Source organism: Homo sapiens, chromosome 8 (assembly GCF_000001405.40).
Source record: "Homo sapiens chromosome 8, GRCh38.p14 Primary Assembly".
Lineage (NCBI taxonomy): Eukaryota > Metazoa > Chordata > Mammalia > Primates > Hominidae > Homo > Homo sapiens.
Window position 1 is genome coordinate 32,631,479 of NC_000008.11, and position 24,824 is coordinate 32,656,302.

Genomic DNA, 24,824 nt, shown 5'->3' on the forward strand with positions numbered 1-24,824 from the left:
TTCTAGCCTCTGCATCCTTATAAATAATGCATCTGGTTTCCTGTAACTACATGAACTCTTAGACTTTAGTAGGCATTTCTTTGTTAGTCAGGGTAAAAGAGTTGGGAGATGAACAGTTGTGGAAATAGTTATAGGCAGTTATTATCACTGATTAGAACCTGAGTCCATGACATATGCATTAATCACTGGGTTAATGCTAATGGAATGCTTATGGTATTTATAGTAGATATAAATAAGATATAGAAAAAGAATATCTTTGCTGACCAAACTGCATGCTTAATTCAACATGGAAAGTTCTGGTGAGGTTAATCTAGGACGCTTTGAGACTCCGTTGCTCATAATTGGACCTGATTTACTACTCATTTAAAAAATCTCTTTTAATTTGCGCAGAATTCGCTGGCTTTTTGGGGGTGGACACACTTGTTCTTAAGAACAATAGCAACAAGATCTTTGTTTAACATAATATCTAATGCTCCATGTAACTTAGTGGTATAACAAATTATTCAATTTGTAATGAAAAAGGTAAATGCTGTGTTAATAAGTTAATAGCAAAGTAAATAATGCATATTTATACTTTTGACTTCAAAGTGTTTATAAACTTATGGCATTAAAAAGTAATGTTTTATTTTTGAGCATCAGAGAAAATAGTATTTAAACAAGAGAAACCGATTTTTAAAGTGAAAATCATTTTAGCAACATTTTAAAATAAGCCACGTTAATATAAAATAAGTGAGTTCCATCGAAGTATACACTCTTTTCTTCACTAGACGTGCCTTAATTGGACATGTCACTGGCCAGGCGTGGTGGCTCACACCTGTAATCCCAGCACTTTGGGAGGCCAAGGCGGGCGGATCACCTGAGGTCAGGAGTTCGAGACCAGCCTCAACATGGAGAAACCCCGTCTCTACTACAAATACAAAATTAGCCGGGCGTGGTGGTGCATGCCTGTAATCCCAGCTACTCGGGAGGCTGAGGCAGGAGAATTGCTTGAACCTGGGAGGCAGAGGTTGCGGTGAGCTGAGATCACGCCATTGCACTCCAGCCTGGGCAACAAGAGCAAAACTCCATCTCAAAAAAAAAAAAAAAAAATGGACATGTCACACAGTGACAATGTTCAGTGTTATGATTCTATCATAAGGATAAAAAATTCAGATTGATTTAGATGTTGATGAGAAACTTGTTGCTCTAGAGCCTTGTATATTTTCATCAGAATTAACTGAAAGAAGGGAAAATTGTTTCTAATATGATACAGGATGTTCATCCTGATCATTTTATTATTGATTTCTTTAGTTACCATCAGTTCATCTCTGAGCAGCTCATTCATTTAGAAAGATGATAGCTTGTAAGTTTAATTCTAAAACTCATTCTCATCCTTGTTAGCATTTGACATGCCAATGATTTTGCAGAGCTGGGTTGTTATCAGGACTCATGTTTAGTCAAAATGTTTAACACTTATTTCTTTGATTCCTGTAGAATTTCCTTATTAATTAACCCAGGGTCTATAAGCAACAAATTTTTAAATCAGATATATATCTATATGCATGTAATTCATTTTTTTCTCTTTGATTTTTGACTACTTTTTTATGCTGATATTTTAGAATTTCTATGAAATTAACACATTTCCTTAACAATTCAGGAAATCTGACTAACTGTACTTTAAAATTGTGCTTTGGTATCACCAGTAAATAAGAAGGCTTCAATTCATCAAAAAGATAATAATAAACTGTATTAATGCTTTCTTTTATTTATTTATTTTAATCCATCTACCAAAAACAATCAAGACAACAGCTTTAAAAAAATGCAATCATTAAATTACTACGACAGCCTAGTCTGCTTTTGTGGCTGTTTTGTTTTGATGGTTACCGAGAATGGAAACAGACAGATTATGTTTTTCTGCTTGTAATTGTCCAGTACCTCCAAAGGCCTCTTGCCTGGGCATGATCCCTTCTGGAATTGAATTCTGCATTCTTCTTCTATCACTAATCAAACAAAACACTATCAGAAGAAAACATTTCCATAACTGGATCCGGAGTGAAGGAAAATTTCAGATACTTAGACATGCATATACAATAAACAGTGTTTCCTGACAGGCTCATTAAAAAAGAATGACTCCACTATGTGTCAACTGCACAAATAGAATCCATTATAAGACTATGGACTCTTACTTCTGAAGTCTGCCTTTGTGCCCACCTAAGATTAGGAAAACTAAATCTTCCACTAGAATTTAAATATCACAGAAGCAGAAACGATTGCAATCTCTTTCCCCAGTGCCTTCCTTCCTCTTTCTCTCAGTCTTGGGTAGGTCCTGGTACATATGAGGCACTTGCTTAAAAAAATAACTGAAGGAACGAATGAAGTTGCTTAAGGCCGGGAGCAGTAGTCTGTAGATGAGTCGACTCTCACCTGTAGTCCCAGTACTTTGGGAGGCTGAGGCAGGAGGATCGCTTGAGGCCAGGAGTTCGAGACTAGCCTGGGCAACATTGTGAGATCCCATCTTTACAAAGAAATTTTAAAAATTAGCCAGGTGTTGTGACATGTACCTGTAGTCCCAGCCAATTGGGAGGCTGAAACAGTAGGATCACTTGAGCCCAGGAGTTTGAGGCTGAGCAAGATCTTGTCTTAAAAAAAAAAAAAAAAAAAGGTTGCATAAAGCAGCAGAGACAGGATCAACCTAGAATGTCTGTGGAAAAACTTTGAAAAAGCATACATTCTTAAAAATAAATGGGAAATCTGTGGCAGAGGAAACAGTAACTACTGACCTGATCTTCCCTTTTCATTTTATTTTAATTTCTAATTTGCTGTAATTGTATGGTGCTTTCAAATACTGATTAAAACTCTTAAAAAAATGAAAGAGAGAAATCACATTTTTCTGCTAAACTGAGTTTGTGGCATGCCTTCTTCCTTCATCTTGTTGATGCTCAAAGAATTATGCAACAGAGGGCCATCATACTGTTTAGTATGTTAAATTATTTTGATTCATGTACTTACTAGCAACATCATTTAAATGGTTTGGTTTCGTCATGGCCAGACTTAAGACACATAGCATAATTAAGTTGACAACCTAATATTCCACATTAAATCCTGGTGTTGGAAAAAGCTAAACTGATCGGAGAAATAAATCTGTCCAAAGTAGAAACTGTAATATGTATGTGAACATGTATATTCTCATCATCACTTTTTGTTTTCTTCTTTTGTTCTCTGTTCCTCCTGTTGAGTCTTGTGTAAGTCCAAATAAAAATTTTATTGTAGAGCCCAACAACAAAAACAATGATCTCTTATGTAATTGATGATTTTAAAAAATGCTTTGAAAGTCTTCTTCCATACTTTGTATCAGTATAAAGATATTGTACAGTGGTACAGAAAAAAATGGCTTTTGAAGTTCAGATGGTTTGAATCTTTGCTTCACCACTTACTAGCTATGTAATTGTGGGTTATCTGTGCATCTTTTTAAATTCTCACTTTTTCCATCTGTAAAATAAGAACAATATCAGTTACTTTGCATACTGATTGTAAAGATTATAAATAAGAACTGATGTATATATATTACTTGGCACAATGTCTGACCTGTTTCTGTTTTTCACAGTCAGGCTTCTCTTCCATTTTCTAAGGTGACTCGGACCTTACCACTCTAAAAATTCAAATCATGCCTTCACTTTCTGCAGATTGCACTTGTTACTTTAGAAGAAAAGGAAAACTATAAGATGGAAATTATTTTAATGTCCTCTTACCAAATCTACAAACCCCAGCACAATGCCTGTCACAGATACGGTCATTTAGTAAACATCTTTTGGATGGATAGGTGGATGGGTAGCTAAGTAAATTAACATACAGATTAGGTCTTTGGAAATGGTAGCTATTTTTATTACACCCTGTACAGTGACCTTAAAATTTGAAATCTACTGCTTTTGAAAAGCAGGTCATCCTGAGGTTTTCCATTTTGTACCTGCCAGATTGTGAAAAGAAGTTCATTTCAATGCTGCACAGCACATTTCCTGATCAGTTGGCTGAATTACAGTCATGCCATTTCATTTTGAGTTGGACAATTCAAGCATTTAGCCCTGATTTTTTTTTTTGACAGTAAGTTAGTTATTTTTATACTCATTCAACACATTTTTCCCCCACCACAGGTTATTGTAAAACCACCTGTCTCTGGGAGCACAGTTAATTCTGTGCATGAGATTTCTAAAAATGTTTTACATTGTCATTGCAGTTTTTTAAAAATGTAGAGATCCCTCTGCTATTCTTTTGCATTGCCAAATGCTTAGGTACCTTGGAAAACTGCTTAATTGGTTCTTCTTATCTCACTAGATTCTTTGGCCTTAGGTTGTGAATGGGTAACAATCATTTAACTTTTGATGTGCCCTGAAGTTTCCATCCAAAACTTTTTTCTTTGAATCTTTTTTAGGGTGAAAGAGAAGAATATGGGGGATCTAGGTGTACATTGATACTTTTTAGATGCCTTTGATGTCAGTCAGTAAACAGCAGTAGACATTTGGAAGAGCATGATAGAAGAGACAGGGCTAATTCCAGGTATTTAACCCCAAGTTAAGGAGACTTAACCTGAGGCTGGGTTATTTCTCTGATCTCTAGGGACAGAGTAGTGGCAAAGCCTTAAGGTGGTAAAATTTTTGAGAAACACTTCTAAAGACTTATGTTTTGTTTTAGAATCCTATCTAAAAGCATTTCAAACAAATTAAGTTAAGCCGTTCCTTTCTTACTGGATGTGTTCGGGCGCAGGGGGTGGGGGCAAAAAGAAGCATATGGTTGAAGCTCTGCACTGCAGTAATTTGTAAAAGAAGTACTTTTCCTGCTAGGTTAAATTGCTCTGCCTGCCTCTTGCTGTCAGGGACATGATTTAGTTAAATACGGATGCTTTTAGAGGGGCTTTGTACTGCATCATACATATTTAATAGTTTATAAAATATCTGTGTGAATCACTGGGTGGAGAATCCAGCAGCAGAGAAGCTCAACCTTCACATTGGAGCCTCTGGCCTTAGGGTCCACTGACCAGTTGACCACTGGAAAAGGTGTGTTCAGAATGGGAGCGTCCTGAATAACCCAAGGATTCTACTGATTTCAACAGAATAAGCTTAGCATCTAACCTTTCAGATTTTTTCAGTAATGTGAACTTTACATTTTCTCAAGTCACATTATTCATAGATGTTCTAATTCCCCAGGGATCGAAGTATAGCATTAAGGAAAATCCCTTCTCAATAAAAAAATGGTATTGGGTGAGGGGAGGGGGACAGAAAAAGCTCTTAGATGTTCTATAGCAATTAATGGTTGCCATATAAAGATACCTCATTGTCATTAGATAATGGTTAAAATTATATGAATCTTTTACCCTTGATATAATTTTGAAATTCATCTTAAAAATCAATTCCTTAAAATAAAAGTAGTAGGGGAAAGAGGTAGTGATGGGTGGAGGCTGGGGGATGATGCAGAGAAGGAAAAAAATAAGCAAGTGGAGGTTACTAAATGTAGCATTGGTGGATTATTTTGTTTGTTTGGCATAGGTAATGAGTTTTATAATAAAACTTACTATAGTATATCAAGATAGGCTCCTTTCATATATGAACCCAGAAACACCATGAAAAATTTTTTAAAAAGTTCCAGCATTTTATTATGAAATTTTCAAACATAGAGAAAAGGTGAATTAATCATTCAGTAAACAAACTTATGCCCACTACCAAGATTTTACAGTTAATATTTTCCTATATTTGCTTACTGAGTGTCTACCCATTTATCTATCAACTTTTTATTTTTGATGAAATTTCCTGTATATATGAGTTCATTTTACCCCCAAATATCCCAGCATGCATAGTATATATATTTTATTACATTGTTTAAGAGAACATGTAGGTCATGGATTATGCTATCAAATAGAATATATGTTTCTCTCAAATAAGCCACCATATTTGGACCGAGGGTTTTCTAGTCATCATATTTCAGAGTATAACTCAGACAGTAGCAGCCTTCTTGTTCCTGTTCCCTAATAATTACTCCTTCCCCTGTCCCAGGCTTTTAATTCTCCAAATTAAAAGAGGATGTAACCTCGGCTTCCTGATTCCCAGATACTGATAATTTTTGGTACAGTTTGTGTTTGAGCTACTGCAGTAATGTTCGGGCGATTCCCATTTTGGTGACAGTCTTCTTTCCTGAGGATACATTGCCTTCCTATCCTCTGTAGTTTCTTTATTCTATACTTTCCTATGTAAGCAATAAAGCTAATTGTAATGCTCCCACAATTCAGGTAGCGTCTAATCTCCAGCCTGTTCTCAGGGGAAGTTGTTGGGTTCTGGAGCACACATTTTGTGTGCTCCCTTAGTTTGACAAAATGCTGTTTAATAACAGAGTCCAAATATGAATATTAGTCTCTGAATATCTTTCAGAAAGAGGCCCATTAAGTAGAGTTGTGACCACAAGTGGTCGTGGGAGCATTAAAGAGTAAACTTTCAAGTAGAAATGGTCCAGGGAAACAGTCAAAGTGAGGTATTGGTACAGACATCATTCATGGCTCTAGGCGAGAGAAAGTCTAAACTATCTAATCAAGTGTGTGTATCTGAGTTGGCAGTATGCAACTAAAAGCTTTCCTTTGTAGAAATTAATTAAAAAGAAGGAGAAATAGATGTGATTCCCAGTCCTGACTTTGAAATTAATTTCTGTGTGACTCTAAGCAGGTTTTTTGTTTGTTTGTTTTTACCTCCCAATAACTTTTTTTCTTCTTGTATAAAATAAAATTCATGTAATGGGTGCAGCAAACTAACATGGCACATGTATACCTGTGTAACAAACCTGCACGTTGTGCACATGTACCCTAGAACTTAAAGTATAATAAAAAAATTAAATAAATAAAATTCATGGGTAAGGCCTGTTGCAGCTCCAACATTCAGTCAATAAAAAAAATTTAAATCTAATTATTATTGAGATTACAGTTGACCTTTGCATTAAACCTAAATTCTTTTACTCCAAATAACTACTGAAATAGAAAGAAAAGACACAAGTCTATTTTCTTTTTTCTCCCAGTGTCTTAGAGATATGGTCTCCTTCTGTTGCCTAGGCTGGTCTCGGACTCCTGGCCTCAGGCAATCCTCCTGCCTCATCCTCCCTAGTAGTTGGGATCACGGGCAGGAGCGACCATGTTGGACAGAAAAGAAACAAGTCATTCTTAAACAAATCTGACTCTAGCAACCTATTGTATAATTTATGGTAGAAACATTTGAGCTGGAGGTCAAATCATAAGATATTTTTATCTTATAACTTTCAAATTCATATCGTTTTAAGTAATAAAAATTGTAACAATTTTCTGTAAACAGAAAAGGTTTCCACCCCTTGAGCTGAAAAGCAGCAGGAAAAGGAGATTGGCATTTCATTTTAAATGGGATACGTCTGCTTCCATGAGCATCATAAAGGTTATGACCTTACGGTAGTGTTGCCTGACAGGTGGCTCACTAAGAATGCCAAATCAGTTCTGGAAACTGCATATACTTTTATTTCTTCTTTTTTTTTTGTTCCCTTTGGTGCAACTTTGTATTTTCATTTTGATCAGCAACAAGGAGAAAAAAAATGTGTGTACTCTAAGGAAAACGTATATTGTAAGACATTTTCTCTGGCTAAGGTCTTTTCAGGTTTAGAAATGTGAACTGGCCAGGCGTGGTGGCTCATGCCTATAATCCTAGCACTTTGGGAGGCCGAGGTGGGCGGATCACCTGAGGTCAGGAGTTGGAGACCAGCCTGGCCAACATGGAGAAACCTCATCTGTACTAAAAATACAAAAATTAGCCAGGTGTGGTGGTGCATGCCTGTAATCCCAGCTACCTAGGAAGCCAAGACAGGAGAATCACTGGAACCTGGGAGGTGGAGGCTGCAGTGAGGTGAGATCGCGCCACTGCACTCCAGCCTAAGCGACAGAGCAAGATTCCATTTCAAAATAAATAAATAAATATAAAAGAGAAAAGAAATTTGAACCATGTTTAAAAGTAGAATACTTCAGGTAATCCCTTTCCTCAAGCTTTCTTTATTCTGGGAATGTTGTGCAAGTATATTTTATACATGGGCTTATGTGAAGTTTCAGTCTCTTGAATAGCTGGTACTCTCTTATGAGTAATTCATAACTGCCTTCACATGTGTATAATCTCATGCTCAACTGTTTCTCTCTATTTTAAGCAGGAGATTTAAAAATCAAATTAACACATATTTCTAGAGCATTTGCTATAAGTGATATGCTGTGCTATATACTGACTAACTACATTTCTGGGTTGATTGGGGGACCAGTTTATAGAATTGGCTGACAAGCAACTGAACTTTAAAACAAATAGCTAGTGCTTAAGTATAAGTCAAGTTCAATCACTCCCATTTTTAAAACTTTGCTGAATTTATATTAAACCGACATTGGTTATTCAAGGTATTTCTTCCTTGTTTTTAGCTAAAACTTCTCTTACTGCATTAAACTACATCCATTATCATTTTCATTAAATAAGATTGCACATTGGATATGTACATAAAAGCAAAATTATATCTTGCATTTTTGTTACATTTGCCAGAAGAATGAAAAACAAACAACAGAAAATTTCTCTGAGCTGTGCTGCTCTATGCCCTGAACGTAACTGTAATAGTGAATATTAATGAGACACAGCAAAGATATTTGCTCAAGGTAGCTAAGCCAATATGTATTGCTCCAGTAAATGTTAGAAATGACCATTCATCCACATAACCTCAGATTAGTCTGCATAAAGATAATGTTTCTTTTGTTTTTTCTTCTTTTTGTCACACACACACACACACACACACACACACGCACGCACACACACCACACAGTAATTTAACATTATTTGCATTTACTCACACTGGTAAAACACACGTCTCAAAGATGTTTCCCATAGTTTATTCATCCCTCTTCTATGTCGTTTTCATTTGGATGCATTTGCTTAACAATGTCTGCTGTGTGCCAGGCATGCTCTAGGTACTGGGGATATAGCAGTGGACGCAGACACAAGTGCATGGTCTTATGGAGCTGACATTCTGGTATTGAGTTTATCACGTTTGATAAGAAAACACAGATAATACAGGAAGACTGCCATTTGCCCCTCATCCTTGGCACTTATTTCCAGTGGAGTCCTTCATCCCAAAGATCTCAGACCCGCACACACACACACACACACACACACACACACACACACACACAGAAACTAGTAAATGGATATGTCATTGAGACTCTGAATTCAAAAGGCTTCTGAGAACATGAGCAAAGGCTTATCTTTCTATCCCATTTTATATACTAAAATATTATTTTTCTGTTCAACTCCATCCTATTTCCCTATTTAAAATATACATATCGGCAGGCGTGGTGGCTCACGACTGTAATACCAGCACTTTGGGAGGCTGTGGTGGGAGGATTGTTGAGGCCAGGAGTTTGAGGCTATGGTGAGTTATGATTGCACCATTGCATTCTAGCCTGGGTATGAAAGTGAGACCCTGCCTCTACAAAATAATAATAATAATAGTTCAAAAATAAGTTAGCCAGGCATGGTGGCATGCACCTGTAGTCTCAGCTACTTGAGAGGCTAAGGTGGGAGGATTGCTTGAGCCCAGGATATCAAGGCTGCAGTGACTAGGATTGCACCACTGCACTCCAGCCTGGGAGAGAGAGTGAAACCCCGTCTCTAAATATATACATATATATATATAAATATATTTTTATATATGTAAATTAATATCAAGTTCAGAGTTCATAGTTAATAATTGCCTGAGATTCACTGCCATATTGCCTATTGATACTTTCTAGAAGAAAGGGTAGCCGACACATAACAAAGTCTCATTTTTCCTTGAGTTGAAATTCACACAGCAAAATTAACCATTTGAAAGTCAACAACTCAGTTGCATTTATTGCACTGTTGTGCAACCACCCCTTCCATCTAGTTCCAAAACCTCTCCAGTGGAATTTTAAAAGAAGGACAACTTGTAAAATGACCAATAAACTGTGTTTGTAGAAAATTAATGATTTTACTTATGGAGAGTGAGAAATTAATAGGTTCTCCCAAAGTAAAGCAAACTCACTGTAACTATCGTATGCAATTAAAATATCTTTCCATATGAAATTCTCACATCCTCATCTTTGAGATCATTTACTGTATCTTCAGTTACAGAGGATCTAAACTCATAAAGAACAAAATGTACCAGAGTAAATTGCTCATCGTGTTACAGAATGAGAACACAGAGCACAGTCAATATCAAGTACTTGATACAGCATCTCACAAAGTAATGCTTAAAATTAAGTCAAATTGTCTGCTCTGAGAACATTTTCACTGGGTAAGAATAATCAGTCTTGACTCACCTTTAAAGTGGGCAGAAAAGACATGCCCAGGAAGGTAAAATGAGTTTCATTCATCTCACCTATTTTGCATCATAAATAATGTACAAGAACATCACACAGCACATGGATTTGGTTTGCTCTCAGAGAACTTTTCTATTTAGCTGGGGAGAGAGGAATGACAAGAAAAAATAGTTAAATATTAGCATATTCCAAATTTTCCCTCCACTGATAGGATCTGTGGTAGTTGAGTTTCGCTAGATCAGGCTAAATTAATTCAAGGCATACTTTGGAACAATCAGAGAAAATTTGATAAGGAAGTATCTGAATAGGCCATTAAAAGACTTGAAAAAATGGAGAGGAGGAGTATAGAGGGTATTTTAGATAGTTGGCTATGAATAAAGCCTGCTGATTTATTAGAGACCCCATAATCTGTGTAATGCAATCCCAATCCAAAGTAAAACCAAACAAAATGTATGTATTGAATGGACAGCCCAGCTCTAAGTTTGGGACAATCAAATACTGATAGTCTTTGCCTTCAAATAAATTGCATTCTTCAGCCCTGTATACACGATGTAATTAAATGATGACACATGACTGTGAACATGTACCCCAATAAATGGTACAGTTAAGAAATGCTGGGTCTATGATTTGGAAAAATGGGAAGGGCTTCGTCAAGGAGCTGAGACCTAGCTGAGGGCATGTTTTTTGGATAGGTGGAAGAAGCTGACAGATCCATTGGTGTACTTTATCCTCCAGAGAAGCTGCAAGTTTTGAAAGTCAACTTCAGGACATGGAGCTTTCTTGTGAAAATTATGATTTCATAATTCCTCAGCAAATAAATAAATAATTGCCATTTGTATGTAGGGATCTCTCCAAATGAAACGACTGCTGCCATCATTTTTATTTTATGTTAGATACCATGAAGTAAATTCTACTCTTTTGCCAGCCGTAAAATTTAGGAGCAAGAATAAACTTTTTCAGTGATAATATTTTTAGATTTTGGAGATAATATTTTTAGAGTTATATTGCCAAGATACAGGAAAAAAGTCAAAGAGAAAATAAGTGAGTAATAAGGTCAAAAGCAAAATGTCATTTATCATTCTCTTTCATCTGTTGGAGCTACCGTACATTCTTCTGATGATAAAGTAAATAAAAGTAAAGCAGAATGACTAGCTTGAATTCATAGCCTAGCTTGAATTGATGTAGCTGAGGAATTCTAGTATTTTTTATTTGATGATATTACAGGATGTTTTTCTTCATTGAAGCCAGCTTAGAAGGAAGCTGAAATATTATGAAAGTGGATCAGAAATACAAATATATTTTACTTTATTCTGCCAAATCCCATTCTATATTACCGTGTCTCTTCTTGATCCAGGTTGGCATACTAGCATTTACTTCCTTATCCTCTGTGGCAGATTAATTGTGGCTGCAAATTCTTTGCCACTTTCTCCCTCAAGATTTATTTCTTCTGTCCTTGAGTCTGGGCTGGCACGGTGACTGCTTAACCAATAGGATGCAGTGGAAATAGTTTGTTCTGCTTTCAGGCACAGACTTTTAAGAGAACTGGCAGCTTGTGTTTTCTTCTTCTTGGGGTGCTTTCTCTCACAACCTGGCCACCATGCTGTGGGAAGCTCAAGCCACAAGGAGAGGCCACAGGTTGGTGCACCATTTCACAGTGCCGGCTGGCATCTAGCAGCAGCTGCCGGTCGTCATGTGGGGGAGCCATCTTGAACGTTTCCACCTAGTTGCACCTCACCTGCAGCACCAGCTGACGTCAAATGAAGCGGAAGAACCACTCAGCTGAACCCAGTAAACCTACAGAATAAAATGGCGGTTGTTGTAAGCTATTTCCAGGTGGTTTGTTTCACAGCAATACATAACTGAAATCGCTTCCCAAGGAAAGTCCTGGAATGAGACCATGGAAGAGCTCATTTGATTTAAATGATAAATAGACAGTATTTAAATGGCCTATGCTTAATTCTTATAATTTCTAAAAATTATTAGGCAAAATTGTAGAAGTCTTATTTTGGAAACTAGATCCTTTTAAGTTTGTTTACAAATTATATTAAGGTAATAATTCCTATTTCATTGTTACATATTCTGGTTCTCATAGTCTCTCCTTGAAGTGGTATGTAATCAATAATATAATCAAATGCACCCTTTTGATGAAATAACAAAAGCAGTATTTTTCAGCAGAAATAGGATGAATCAGAACGTACTCAAATCTTGGCCACATAGCTATGTGTCCATGGCAAAATTACCTAAGCTGCCTGGGCCAATGAAATAAAAAAAAAATTTAAGATAAATATGGACTGTATGGGATTAGTGAAGATCAGAAATAATGTATATTATGAACCTAGCAGAGTGCCTGTCACCTGGGTGGAACTCAACAAAGGTAGCTTTTATTATTGTGAGGGAGATGGTGATAAAAGGTTAGGTAGTAAAAAATTGTGTAGTTTATTTTTCTAAGAGGACATGGAAATGGGGTGTTCCTGGGCTTTACTGGGGTGGAGCTTAAAGGGTTAAAATGATATATCCTTGCAGTTTTTCCTACAAACATGCATGTTTTATCCAAAGGAAATTCTGACCTCTAACCCCATTCACACTTTCCTTTCTTACTCTTTTATTGCTATAGAGGATTTGATGAAGGCAGAAAGGCAACTTCTGGGTCCTAGTCCCAAGGGTAGAACTAATGGAGAATTCTTTTATTCTTCACCTCCCATCCTTCTCCATTTCCCCATTTACATTCTTTTTCCAATTTGGCGGAAAAAAAGCAATGTTATAGGAAGCTGGCTGTCTGCAGATTAGTCTTAGCACCAAGGTGGAATGACTTTTGGGGGAAAAACAGACACATCCCAAAGTCTGGCTCATGTAGTCCAAGGGAAAGAGTACTTGTGGCAGTCCATAGGATTCTCTCTCTGATGTGTTGTCCTAGTCTTTGTATAAAATGTTGGTTTTCTCTGTAAGTGTTGGGTATTTTCAGTGTAACAGCTAGAGCAATGCCCAGTAACTTTTTTTTTTTTTTCTGCTGAATATGTTTGCTCTTAATGGTTGAGGTAAGGTGAATAATTGCTCTTGGTGTAAGTTAAAGACCACTTTTCTAAACTATGGGTTATCATGCTTGGTATTTTCTCCTATCTGCCTGACTTGAGGCCACCTGAACCCCATTTTGGTCTTTGAAATTTAGCTGACCTTGGCCTTGGATGAAATGCTGGTGTATTGAGTATAATAGTTTTGGTTTAGGTCAAAATTGGGGAATTCAGTGCCGTATATTTCAACTGGGTGCTTTTTGAAGAAATCATAAATTACCCTAGTTTAGCATAAACACCTGCTGATATTGTTTCTGAATATTTACATGAATATTGATCATTGAGATCTTACTATCTTTCAATTTGAATGCTTTAAATGCTTCAATAGATGTTTTCTACACCGTGAAATTGTATGTCCTTTGCTAGAATCTTTGTAAGAGAGGTCTCACTGCTTTGAAGTCAAATAAACCTAGAAAATAAGCATAGGAATTATTTTTAAACACCATTTACTGTGCAGATTATAGAGAGATGAACTCAAGGATAACTCATGTTGCTCATAAACTTGTCATAGTCATGGTTACATTTATGCAAATTGGCACAGGCTTTTGTTGTTGTTAGTTATAGTACTGCAAACACAGTTTAAGATGTTAAGACCCTTTAAATCATGTATAATTATGGACTAATTTCATCTTGAAGGAAGAAGTGATAATATTCTTATCTCCTGCCGTTTAAAGCTGAAACATACCTCAAAGTAGTGGAGATTGTGCCCTACAAAATATAATGTGCTTAAAGCGGATTTTCTCAGGACTTGAATTCTAAATTTTACTGCTTCAGGGACTCATATGATGGCTATGTAGTATAGATTTAGAGAGAGTTTTACAGACTCCTATTGACATAAGTGAACAAAATGGTTCCTTGGAAACCGTTTAGATGTCCAATCACAGTAAGTGTGGATTACAGGTTCAGATGCATATTGTGTGCAGTGATGTGCAGCACAGTGCTTGGGGAAGCCTGTGGTCTGTATTAAGAACAGTGCATTTCTTCTAGTGTTTTAATGACTGTTGTTTTAAAAGAAAAAAACAGTCAGCATTGAAACTACTGAAAGGTAAAGCTCCTGAAACCTAACCCAAAAGGCATGCTCTCATAGAAAACTCTTCTTAGTACTTTCAGTGCGGTGATAGCTGAGGACATGTGGTATATATTACAGTGCCAGGGAATCCAAACCTCTGCAGTGTGGAGTCACCATGAAAGGCTAATCTAAAAATGAAGTGGTAGCTTTGCTCGCATCATAACTCTGTTACTTACTGGTGCTTCCTATTAGCTTGACATTATTAGTCTTCTTTGGGTGAGATAGAATAAATGGAAATTCAAAGGGGACCACAGCAGGGGATATATGGGCTGCCAACCCCTCCCCTAGCACTCCCTTCCTCCAGCCTGTACTCAGCATTTCTCCCTGGGCATGACAAACAAAGTCTTACATAGTCATTGCAAAAAGGGCTAAAGGCAGAGCTGTCCATGGTTAGGAAAAAAATGTTCAAACTGTTGGTTGAAAATCAGGTAATAACAGTCCTCTTAGTGAACAAAACTTATTAGAGGGCTAGGGAAGGAATGCTATCTCTCAGCAGCAGGCAGGAAGAAATTGCTGTTGAAAAGCTTACCTCTCTAGGGAGGAATCAGATAGCAGACTTCAAGCCTCAGGTCCAACCCATAAGGTCCCACCTACACCACCCCCCACCCCATCCCCATCCCAGCTTTGTTAGATTGCTAGCATCGATCGCTGGCTTTCTCTGACCCAACAGTGGGTGAAGGAAAGAGACTGAAAGCTGGCAAGGTGGGGGTGGAAGAAGACTGGGACAGCTTTTGTAGAGAAAGAAAGAAAAAGGAGGAAAACGGGTGGGGGCCATGGGGACTAGGCTTAACTGATGCCTGCCTGCCTCTCTTTGATTTGATGGCCTTTATTCCTTCTAATTGGATAAAATAGGAAGTCACTGGCAGTCCTGTGTGGCTGGGGATACTGATTTTACTCAGACCAGCCTGCAGCTCTAGAGTGTGGGTAGAGAGCGGGGAGTGGGGGTTGGGAGAGGGGGAGGAAAGAGAGAGAGGAGAGAGGACGGGCTTGGATGAAGAAGGGAAAGAAAGAGAAAGAGACTGAAGCAGAGAAGAGCCGCAGAGGAAGAAAGTGAATGAGCACTCAAGAAGGACAAAGAGGAGTAGTCGGGGGTGGGGTGGAGGCAGGGCGGGGAAGGGAGTGACCGCCCCTCCTGGCTGCACTCTTGCCTCCGGAGCCCTCTGATCCTGTTTGCAGTGATGCTCCGAGGGCAGGCACCTGCTGCTCTGTAATGATTCAGCCCCTTTCAGCCGTCGTCGCGTTAACACAACAGGATGCTGTTGCTATTGTCACTACTGCCTCTCCTGCCGCCGCTGCTGCTGCCGCCGCCGCCACCGCCGCTGGTCCTCCTTCTGCTTTTACTTCTCCTGCATGACAGTTGTTTTCTTCATCTGAGCAGACACCAGCTTCAGATGCTCGAGGTGAGAAACATGCCTTTCAGTTTGGGCTACTGGTTTACTTAATTAATCAGCCGGCAGCTCCGTCGATCTATTTTCGTCCCTGTCCTCTTGACGAGCCCGGGATGGTTTGGAGTAGCATTTAAAAGAACTAGAAAAGTGGCCCAGAAACAGCAGCTTAAAGAATTATTACGATATACTTTGATTTTGTAGTTGCTAGGAGCTTTTCTTCCCCCCTTGCATCTTTCTGAACTCTTCTTGATTTTAATAATGGCCTTGGACTTGGACGATTTATCGATTTCCCCCTGTAAGATGCTGTATCATTTGGTTGGGGGGGCCTCTGCGTGGTAATGGACCGTGAGAGCGGCCAGGCCTTCTTCTGGAGGTGAGCCGATGGAGATTTATTCCCCAGACATGTCTGAGGTCGCCGCCGAGAGGTCCTCCAGCCCCTCCACTCAGCTGAGTGCAGACCCATCTCTTGATGGGCTTCCGGCAGCAGAAGACATGCCAGAGCCCCAGACTGAAGATGGGAGAACCCCTGGACTCGTGGGCCTGGCCGTGCCCTGCTGTGCGTGCCTAGAAGCTGAGCGCCTGAGAGGTTGCCTCAACTCAGAGAAAATCTGCATTGTCCCCATCCTGGCTTGCCTGGTCAGCCTCTGCCTCTGCATCGCCGGCCTCAAGTGGGTATTTGTGGACAAGATCTTTGAATATGACTCTCCTACTCACCTTGACCCTGGGGGGTTAGGCCAGGACCCTATTATTTCTCTGGACGCAACTGCTGCCTCAGCTGTGTGGGTGTCGTCTGAGGCATACACTTCACCTGTCTCTAGGGCTCAATCTGAAAGTGAGGTTCAAGTTACAGTGCAAGGTGACAAGGCTGTTGTCTCCTTTGAACCATCAGCGGCACCGACACCGAAGAATCGTATTTTTGCCTTTTCTTTCTTGCCGTCCACTGCGCCATCCTTCCCTTCACCCACCCGGAACCCTGAGGTGAGAACGCCCAAGTCAGCAACTCAGCCACAAACAACAGAAACTAATCTCCAAACTGCTCCTAAACTTTGTAAGTAGAGAGAGAGAGAGAGACGATGATGATGATGAATAAAAGGGGTGGGTTTGAGGTCCCCAAAGGACATTTCCCTTTCTTCTTGCATTTTAGTTGCCTGGTTTTGTTTAAGCAAAGCCTATGTTTGAGATGCTTGGGATGGCATTGAAGGGCCGAGTAAAATGATCTTGCAAACTCCGGATCTGAACCAGTGTTGTAACAGCAGCTCTCTCTAGCCACATGGCTCAATCTGGTACCGGGAATGAAAAACTTCAGCATCTGCAAGTCATGCTTGAATTTAAGTTAAATTCAATTTATTTCTAACACATTTTAAAATTAAAACATCACGCCATCTCTTATGTTTTATAGAAATGTGACTTTCATATACCAGTGAGTATTATTTTGTGTCTTTCTCTTCCCCATCATAGATTTCCTGTCATCTCTCTGTTACCCTCTACCTCTCAGCGACCCCAAGCTGCCTGTTGTCTCTCTCTCCTTCCCGTTCCCTAACCACTTCTCCCTACTTTTGTATCTTAATTGGTTCTTTGAGATTACAGCAAGTCTTAAGACATTTACGGTGCTAGCCTCTCACTAGCTTGAGACGACTGCTGTCCTGCCCAGATGGCACTTTCAGTTAGTGAGCACTTACTAGTGGCAGCTTTATTTTGTCCAGGACACAGTAGGATTCTGCATGAAGGATTTTCCCAAATTAGTTTTGTCTTCTATAATCAAATGTTTAAATAGCTTCCTTGGCAGTTGTTAAAAAGTACAAGATCCATTAGTGAGGTACATCTTTTTTTTTTTTTTTTTTTTTGATGTATGTCATCTTAGTCTGGCAGATTGCAGCGGCCCAGTTTAATAACCTGTGATGTGCAGAGAGCCCACGCTCTTAAAAACAATACATTCCTGTTTGCATTGCGTAATTGCAATAGCTTTAGAGTGGAAAGTTGACAGGAATGAAAGCATGACTGTTCTAAATATCAATATAGAAGGGAGGAGTTTTCTGTAGCCTTTTAAAAATGTTTCTAGTTTATTTTTGTTGTCTCTATCTCCTATCACTTTTTACCATGAGGAATATTTACTTAGTAGAAAAGTACAAGATCAGAAAATTTGGTTCTTAATAACTTGCATGAAAGCTCTTAGGGTTAAAAGAGAGTTGACAATTTCTCTGACGAAATGCCTCTTGTTTTTCCTCTGGACAGTAATGAAGAATAAAGAATACCTTTTCCAGACATCATGTTCAGTGTGAAGTAGTGCAGCATGCTGTAGAAACACAGAAAAACTTGATTTGTGCTTGTAACTCCCGATCATTTCACGAACACCAGATTCAGTGGCAAAGATTTAAAGAAAAAAAAAGTCTTGTTTTCTAGGTGCAATTAGGGAAAACCTCCTTCATGCAGACGCTGCTTTGTATCTTTATCAAATCCCTGAAGCATCATTAAAGGTCTGACAGACATCACTGCCTTTGCTGCCTCTTCCCACCTGGCAAAGTGACTGGGAAATAATACCCAGATGAAATGACAGGCTATAAAAAGCAAGTACAGATCCTGCAAAAAGAAGCGAAATTCACCAGGAGGACAAGGTTACTTGATCATTTTAAACTTGTCTTTAATTGAAATCTGCTTGAACAGGTTTCATTGTCCAGAGAAAGAAAAAAATGCCCTTTGAAAAACACTTCAACTAAATTCTATAATTTTGTCATCTGAGGAAATCAGGAAAACAAAGAAACATCTAACACATTTTCCTGATCTAAGACCATGTCAGAAAGTATGTTGTGAAGTTTTGATAAATTATTTTATAAAGTAAATTTTTCTACTAAGTGTTTTAGTAGATTACATATTCCTTATCAGTTTTTTTTTCCCCAAGCCAGGGCATTGATATTGTGGCATCTGCAATAAATGGGAAAGATTTACTGCTGCCTAAAAGCATCATTGTGGCCAGTTTGACCAGATGCACAGCTGCAACGTTTTGAAGTGCATCGGAGATAAGCCTAGAGAAGCAGTCTGGGAAGTAGTTTTCTCCTGAAAAGTTAGGGGTAGACAGTTAGTTGGTTAAGACTTTGAAACCTATAAGGAAACTCTGTTAATTTTTTAGACTAGTTCCTTAAAAAAACATCAAATCTTGTATTGTAAAAATTGTGAGACTACTTTTTTTGGGGGTGGGGAGAGGTTGTTGTGGGGAGAGTAGTGTTTGAAAGGGATTGGTCCAGGCAGCTTTGTTTTTAGAGACTTGTAAGTGGTTGTTTTTGTTGTTGTTTAAAAAGGTTGTAACCACTAATTAATGGAAAGCAAAAAAAAAAAAAAAAAAAAAAAAAAGCTTACAAAGGGATTGTATTTTTCAACTAAGAAAGTATTGTTTAGTCACAGAAAGAACTGGGACGTTCCTTTTCCCGTGCATGTTTTTGACATAAACTAAGCTGTCATGGCTTATATTTGAAAATGACATTATCATATGTGAAACATGCTCTTCAGTGGTTTTAGGACTTTATTCTCCCGTTTCCATTTTTTTTTCTGTCTCAGCATATTCAGCACATTATGCACAGAGCTGTAGCCTTCAAGGTCATAGACTGTTGAAGGCTAATTGATTCTTCTTTATCCTGGAGCCTGAGAGAGTAGAAGAGAGACAATCCCAGTAATTGTGTCTGCAGCGTTGCTCCCCAAACCAATCTACCTACTAATGTTAGAGTTTTATTTTATAAATACTAGAATTACTCCCTCACTGACTCTTGTCAAATTACAACATTCTTTGTCTTTGTTATAATAAAAGGCAAAATATGACATTTTAAATTGCCTTAAGGTATAGTGGCTATGTCGAATTTTCTAAAATGGGTATTTCTTTCATAAAGTAATATTTCATATTTTCATGATATTAATCTATGCATTCATGTAGGTCTTAAGAAGTCCAATGCAGAATTGGAATGAAAGTATATAAGTATATATTTTTATTCTAAAGTATTTCTAAATATGGTTAATGGTTTCCCACTACCACAATGATTATATTGTCATGATACTAATTAAGTTTTTACTTCTCAATGAGTCACATAATACTTGCACTATTCATTTGTTTTGTCTGGGCTTTAAAATTTTTCCTACCCTGACTGTTGGGAGATTGCAAACTTAGATTATCATAAAAAGAGCTGATTAATTAAATTATAGCCAGGAAACAGTGGTACCATCTTGAAAGAAAATGTTTTCTGGATATGAGATCCTCCCTGCTTGACAACAGATTCTTGGATGCAAGAATGTGTTGGTATTTTCATCTTGGGCCAACTTTGTTTTGCTTTGTCCTAAGTCTTATTATGGGATTGTATGACAAACCATTGTTACCGCAGTGACAATAAGAATCAGTAACCATTTGCAAAAGATCAACATGATGAGTTGGATATACCATAGGATTTCTTTCCTTCTATTTGAAAGTGCCGTTCATTTAAATTCTAATGCATCCTTCTTCTAGTTCTTGGTAACTATGTTTGTAGGTATTTCAGAACAGTGATTTTAAATAACTTCTCCCCACTTTAATCATAGCCGATTACAGCCTAAAATATTAAAAACTGGAAGAGACTGAAAGATCTTCTATTGGAACTGAATAATTTCATAAATTTACCAATGAAGAAACCCAGGCTCAGAAATGCCTATTGAAATTCTTTTATTAAAATATACTAAACTCTGAAAAATGTGGCAAAATCCAAAGTATTAGAAAATGTCTCTGTCTCTGAGAATTTAAACACACACACTCTCTCTCTCTACTGTTTTCTTCTATCATCGTATCCTTACTGTAGAGAGTTGGAGCTAGAGACGAATGTAGCATCAGACTGAGAATTAGGGAAGTACTTTAAGTGGGACCACTGTTCAGGTGTGTGTTTAGTGCATATCACTAAAATTAAATTTTCTTCTCGCCTTCCTGTTTTGCTCTTATTAAATTTTCAGTCGTGGTGGTCTTTTCCCTTTTTATTAGATCATCCATACTTTGTTCAGCTTGCTTCTGAAAACAGCATGGGTTGCCTAGGGTGAGTTCTTCCCTCATATATAGCAGATTGCTCTGTGGCTCACTTCTTTTCTTCATAACCCATTTTGTTTTCTCCTCTCTATTCTTTTGTGATACCCAACTCAGACTTCTTCTCCCCTTTCCTTCCTACCTTCCCAATTATGTATTGACTCTTTTTTATTTTTGTAATTATGTCATTTTGGCTTTATAGGTCAGTATTTCATTGCATCATATCAAAATAATTTCAACTGTCTTTAATGAAACTTTATTGCATTTTAATGCTGAATGGCACTTTCATATATTACAAACATACAAAAAAAATCTCTAGCCAATGACCAATATACCAGTTTCTTAATGACATAATTAAATCAAATTTTTACCTTCTTCTTGATCTTTTCCTCTTTTTTTTCTTTAGTGTGCTTGATTCCAGTTTTTCTGTTTTTGGACATCAGCATTTCTGTACTCCCAGAAAACGATGTTCCAAACCATACATCTGTGTTCTTCCTCCTTCCCTCTTCCTTTTAACAACTCTTCATAGTATCCTTTTAAAGTATGAAGGAAGAGGTATTTTATAGATTGAAAAACCAAAGCATAAAAAGTTATGACTTGTTTAGATGCCCCTGAGAACCAGGAATATAACTTGTCCACAGAGTCCATTGAACGTTCTACTACAGCATAAACTACATTCCGTCTACTTTTATGCTCATGTTTCTACTTTTATTACTTTTGCTCTACATCAATGCTTTGTTTTTCTTCTATTATTTCCTCTTTGGTTTTTTTTTGTTTGTTTGTTTGTTTGTTTGTTTTTCATTCAGTGAATGTACGCTAAGTGCCTACTCTGTGCCAGACTCTGTTCTAGACCGGTTATATGACAGTGGAAAACAGTAGAGTGCCTGCCCTCAGGGAGCTTATGTTCTAGTGGATTTTAAGAATCTAATTGCATAATGCAATTTGAGATATTTCTTGCTTTCTTATACATATACCCTCTTCATTCAGCATTTCTTCTTCTTTACTGTCATGTTATTCACCTTTTGACTTCCACTCCTGTCTTTTCTTAATATGTTTTCTTCTCCATCTACCAAATACTGAACACTTGCCCAGCAATGTCCTTTAACTGACAGCAATCCCACCTCTGCTACCAACAGGCTGAGTAGCCAGGGGTGATTCACCATATGGCACTATCTAATCAAACCATTGGAGTAGTGAGAAAAATTTGATCTGTCTGGCCCTTTAGGAGCACCCTCTTAAGATGAAAAATATATACATAATTCTTCTAGCATGTACATAAAGATTCTAAGATTATTTTCAGATTCTAGAGAGTTGGTAGCTGTAAATATTTTTGTTTCTATATTTTGCTCATATTTTTATGTATTGTTTTGGCTTGCATAACATCAAGAGTATTAAAATATTCCCAAGGGTTTTTCATTTCACTGTACGGACAAAGACTAGAATCTGCCATTAAGTTGTTTAGTTCTTAAACTGAATAAAGACATGAGTTCATATACTATTCACATGAAGAGTGATTGACTAGCAGTGAGTGAAGTTAATCCTCATCATCTCAAAGCTGATTGTAATCTTTACTGCAGTGAATTTTATCGTGTGTATGCGTGTGTGTGTGTGTGTGTGTGTAGACATTCAAAGGGTGTTTCTGAATAATATAACTAGTATCTTATAATCATAGAATTTTATATGCTGAACATTTTTAGAGATTATTTGTGTCACTTCCTAAGTGAGAAAAGGCAGGTCTGGAAAAGTGAAGTGACTTGCCCAGTGTCACTACAACCAATCAGTAGCAGTGCTGAGACTAAAACTGAAGTCATCCTTACCTTTGCTACACTTGCTTTTCTTCTCAAAACTGTTTTTAGCATTTATTCAAGTAGCATATGTTACGTTATCATAATTTAAAAGATTTGGTTTTCCCATTTATTATTTAAATACTAATTAGTAAAACTTTTATCACCCTATAGCAGATGTCTTCTTTAGAGAAGAGAATTTTGGCCAGGTGCGGTGGCTTACGCCTGTAATCCCAGCATTTTGGGAGGCCAAGGTGGGAGGATCACCTGAGGTCAGGAGTTCCAGACCAGCCTGGCCAACATGGTGAAACCCTGTGTCTACTAAAAATACAAAAATTAGCCAGGGGTGGGGGTTCATGCCTATAATCCCAGCTACTCGGGAGGCTGAGGAAGGAGAATCGCTTCAACCTGGGAGGCGGAGGTTGCAGTGAGCCGAGATCGTGCCACTGCATTCCAGCCAGGGTGACAGAGTCAGACTCTGCCTCAAAAAAAAAATAATTTTACCTTTATAATATTGATATGTATAAGACACCCCTCCGGAGGCTGGACATCTGTCTCCCAACAATATAATATATGAGAAAATGTTTTAATGATCAACGTTATCCCAACTGAAATGCGTTACATACTTAGAAAGAAATTAGTTCCTTAGTGCTTAAAGTATTCAAGCAGTGACACTGTTGAGGGAGATTTATGTTCCTAGCAGATTATTAACTATATTTACTTCTGAAGTCTCTTACAACTCTGGTTCTCTCAGTTTATTGTCTCAGGGTGTTAGCTTTCCAGTGGGTAGACTTGACTTTCAATCCTACTTGTCCCTCTTCATGGCCTTGAGCAAGTTAGACCATCATGTTAAATCTGTTTCCTCATTTAAATGTGATAATAATAATAATATACATGTCTTGAGGCTGTTAGGAGATTAAATGAGGTTTTGGAAAACTCCAAGTCCTAGGCCTGAGACATAAAAAATATGAAACCAGCACCAATTTTGTCCCTCATTCTATTTTAACTCCCTGCCTCACTTTGTTCTTTTTCTCCTTTGATCTTGACAGTGGTTTGGTAACAATGCCTGGAGAATACATTTTGGGGTTTTAGGGGAACCTTATGAAAAACTTTGAAGGAAGTGAAGAGTTGATGATACATCATGCTAAAGTAGGAATTATGCTAGAAACTCGAGATCAAATACCAGCTCTACCTCTTGCATGCTGTGTGACTTTGAGGAAATCACTTCACTTGAGATTTAGTTTTACATCCAAACAAATGGGGATGTTAACATCTAAAACTCTCAAGAGATTGTGATAAGGACAAAAGTGGTTACTGTACCTAAAGAAAACAGAGCTTAAAAATATATTGAATTCCTTCTTTGCCCTTTCTATCAGGGTTCGTGTATGCATATATTCACAAGTGCTAACATTTCTAGAAATAAATTGTAGGGGTTCTTTACCAGTGAATTAATTTGTTATGCCTTAAAATGGTCTGTAGGACTTTACTAATTTCTTGAGCCCAGTGTCATAAAAGGAGTATTTTTTCCCTTATACAAATTGGTTAGAATACATAGATTATTACCTTTGAGTTACATAGATTATTACTTTTTGAGTAATGTCCAAAAATCACTGCATGAGGGGCTTCATTATAGGGAAAGCGATAAGGAGTTACTTTTGAGAGAGGAAAAGACTGCATGGTATGTAAAATTGTGTTTGTCAAGTAAGTACTGTTTTTGGAAAGATTGGGACAACGGAAAACAATCTATACAGTTTAGATGTGGTGCAGGGGAAGAACTTGGCTAGAAATACCATGAATCCTAAGATTATGTTCACCTTACTCTTTTTATTGTTCCAAACTGGGATTTCCTGATCTCAAAAGATGGGAATTAACGTCTATGAGTTGTTTTCAGCATTTGACAAAAACCATGGAAATAATATACATCAAATAATTTTATATGAGCCAAATCAAATGTAGAAATTCTTTGAGTATACTACATCTATGTGTATCTATGTGTGTATACATACATACATATAATTCATACATATAATATTCTAAATAAAGGGGAAAATTATTTGACAATAAAATGAGCAGATAAAAATATTTTTAAATTTGGACAAACAGGTTGTTTATTAATAGGTTTGGGAGGGGTGGACAAAAAAACTTCTAGCCCTATGCCT

The 24,824-nt window shown here is 37.6% G+C and overlaps 2 protein-coding genes across 27 annotated transcripts in view, besides 3 other annotated features; both read left to right on the forward strand.

Annotated features, from left to right (window-relative positions):
- The window catches only part of NRG1 (neuregulin 1), a 1,134,802-nt gene that overhangs the window by 992,234 nt on the left and 117,744 nt on the right, over positions 1 to 24,824 (forward strand). For 4 of the 26 annotated variants that reach the window (NM_001322206.2, NM_001322205.2, NM_001322207.2 and 1 more), the window contains exon 1: positions 15,611 to 16,906. The exons of the other annotated variants lie outside the window; for them this stretch is intronic. In NM_001322206.2, coding sequence (NP_001309135.1) covers positions 16,240 to 16,906 — 667 coding nt within the window. In that variant the 5' untranslated portion in view covers positions 15,611 to 16,239. Of the gene's footprint in view, positions 1 to 15,610; positions 16,907 to 24,824 lie in introns of those variants that run through there. 26 annotated transcript variants of the gene reach the window in all.
- Positions 1,273 to 2,472: an enhancer, noted in NCBI's record as "BRD4-independent group 4 enhancer chr8:32490269-32491468 (GRCh37/hg19 assembly coordinates)". NCBI's record gives its function as "activates an origin of replication core promoter dependent on BRD2, P300/CBP, MED14 and CDK7 cofactors, and independent of BRD4, by STARR-seq in HCT116 cells {active_cell/tissue: HCT116}" and the evidence as "EXISTENCE:reporter gene assay evidence [ECO:0000049][PMID:35650434]".
- Positions 11,379 to 12,578: an enhancer, noted in NCBI's record as "MED14-independent group 3 enhancer chr8:32500376-32501575 (GRCh37/hg19 assembly coordinates)". NCBI's record gives its function as "activates an origin of replication core promoter dependent on BRD2, BRD4, P300/CBP and CDK7 cofactors, and independent of MED14, by STARR-seq in HCT116 cells {active_cell/tissue: HCT116}" and the evidence as "EXISTENCE:reporter gene assay evidence [ECO:0000049][PMID:35650434]".
- Positions 15,372 to 15,973: an enhancer, noted in NCBI's record as "NANOG-H3K4me1 hESC enhancer chr8:32504369-32504970 (GRCh37/hg19 assembly coordinates)". NCBI's record gives its function as "activates a minimal SCP1, AML or CMV promoter by ChIP-STARR-seq in primed H9 embryonic stem cells {active_cell/tissue: H9 hESC(primed)}" and the evidence as "EXISTENCE:reporter gene assay evidence [ECO:0000049][PMID:30033119]".
- Positions 15,724 to 15,912, forward strand: LOC128092250 (uncharacterized). The gene has a single exon (NM_001414935.1). It carries the CDS (start codon positions 15,724 to 15,726, stop codon positions 15,910 to 15,912), a length of 189 nt encoding a protein of 62 aa, NP_001401864.1.

What these genes read in the sequence shown, in the direction of transcription:
- LOC128092250 (NM_001414935.1), top strand. Translation starts at nt 15,724, where the DNA reads ATGCTGTTGCTATTGTCACTACTGCCTCTCCTGCCGCCGCTGCTGCTG.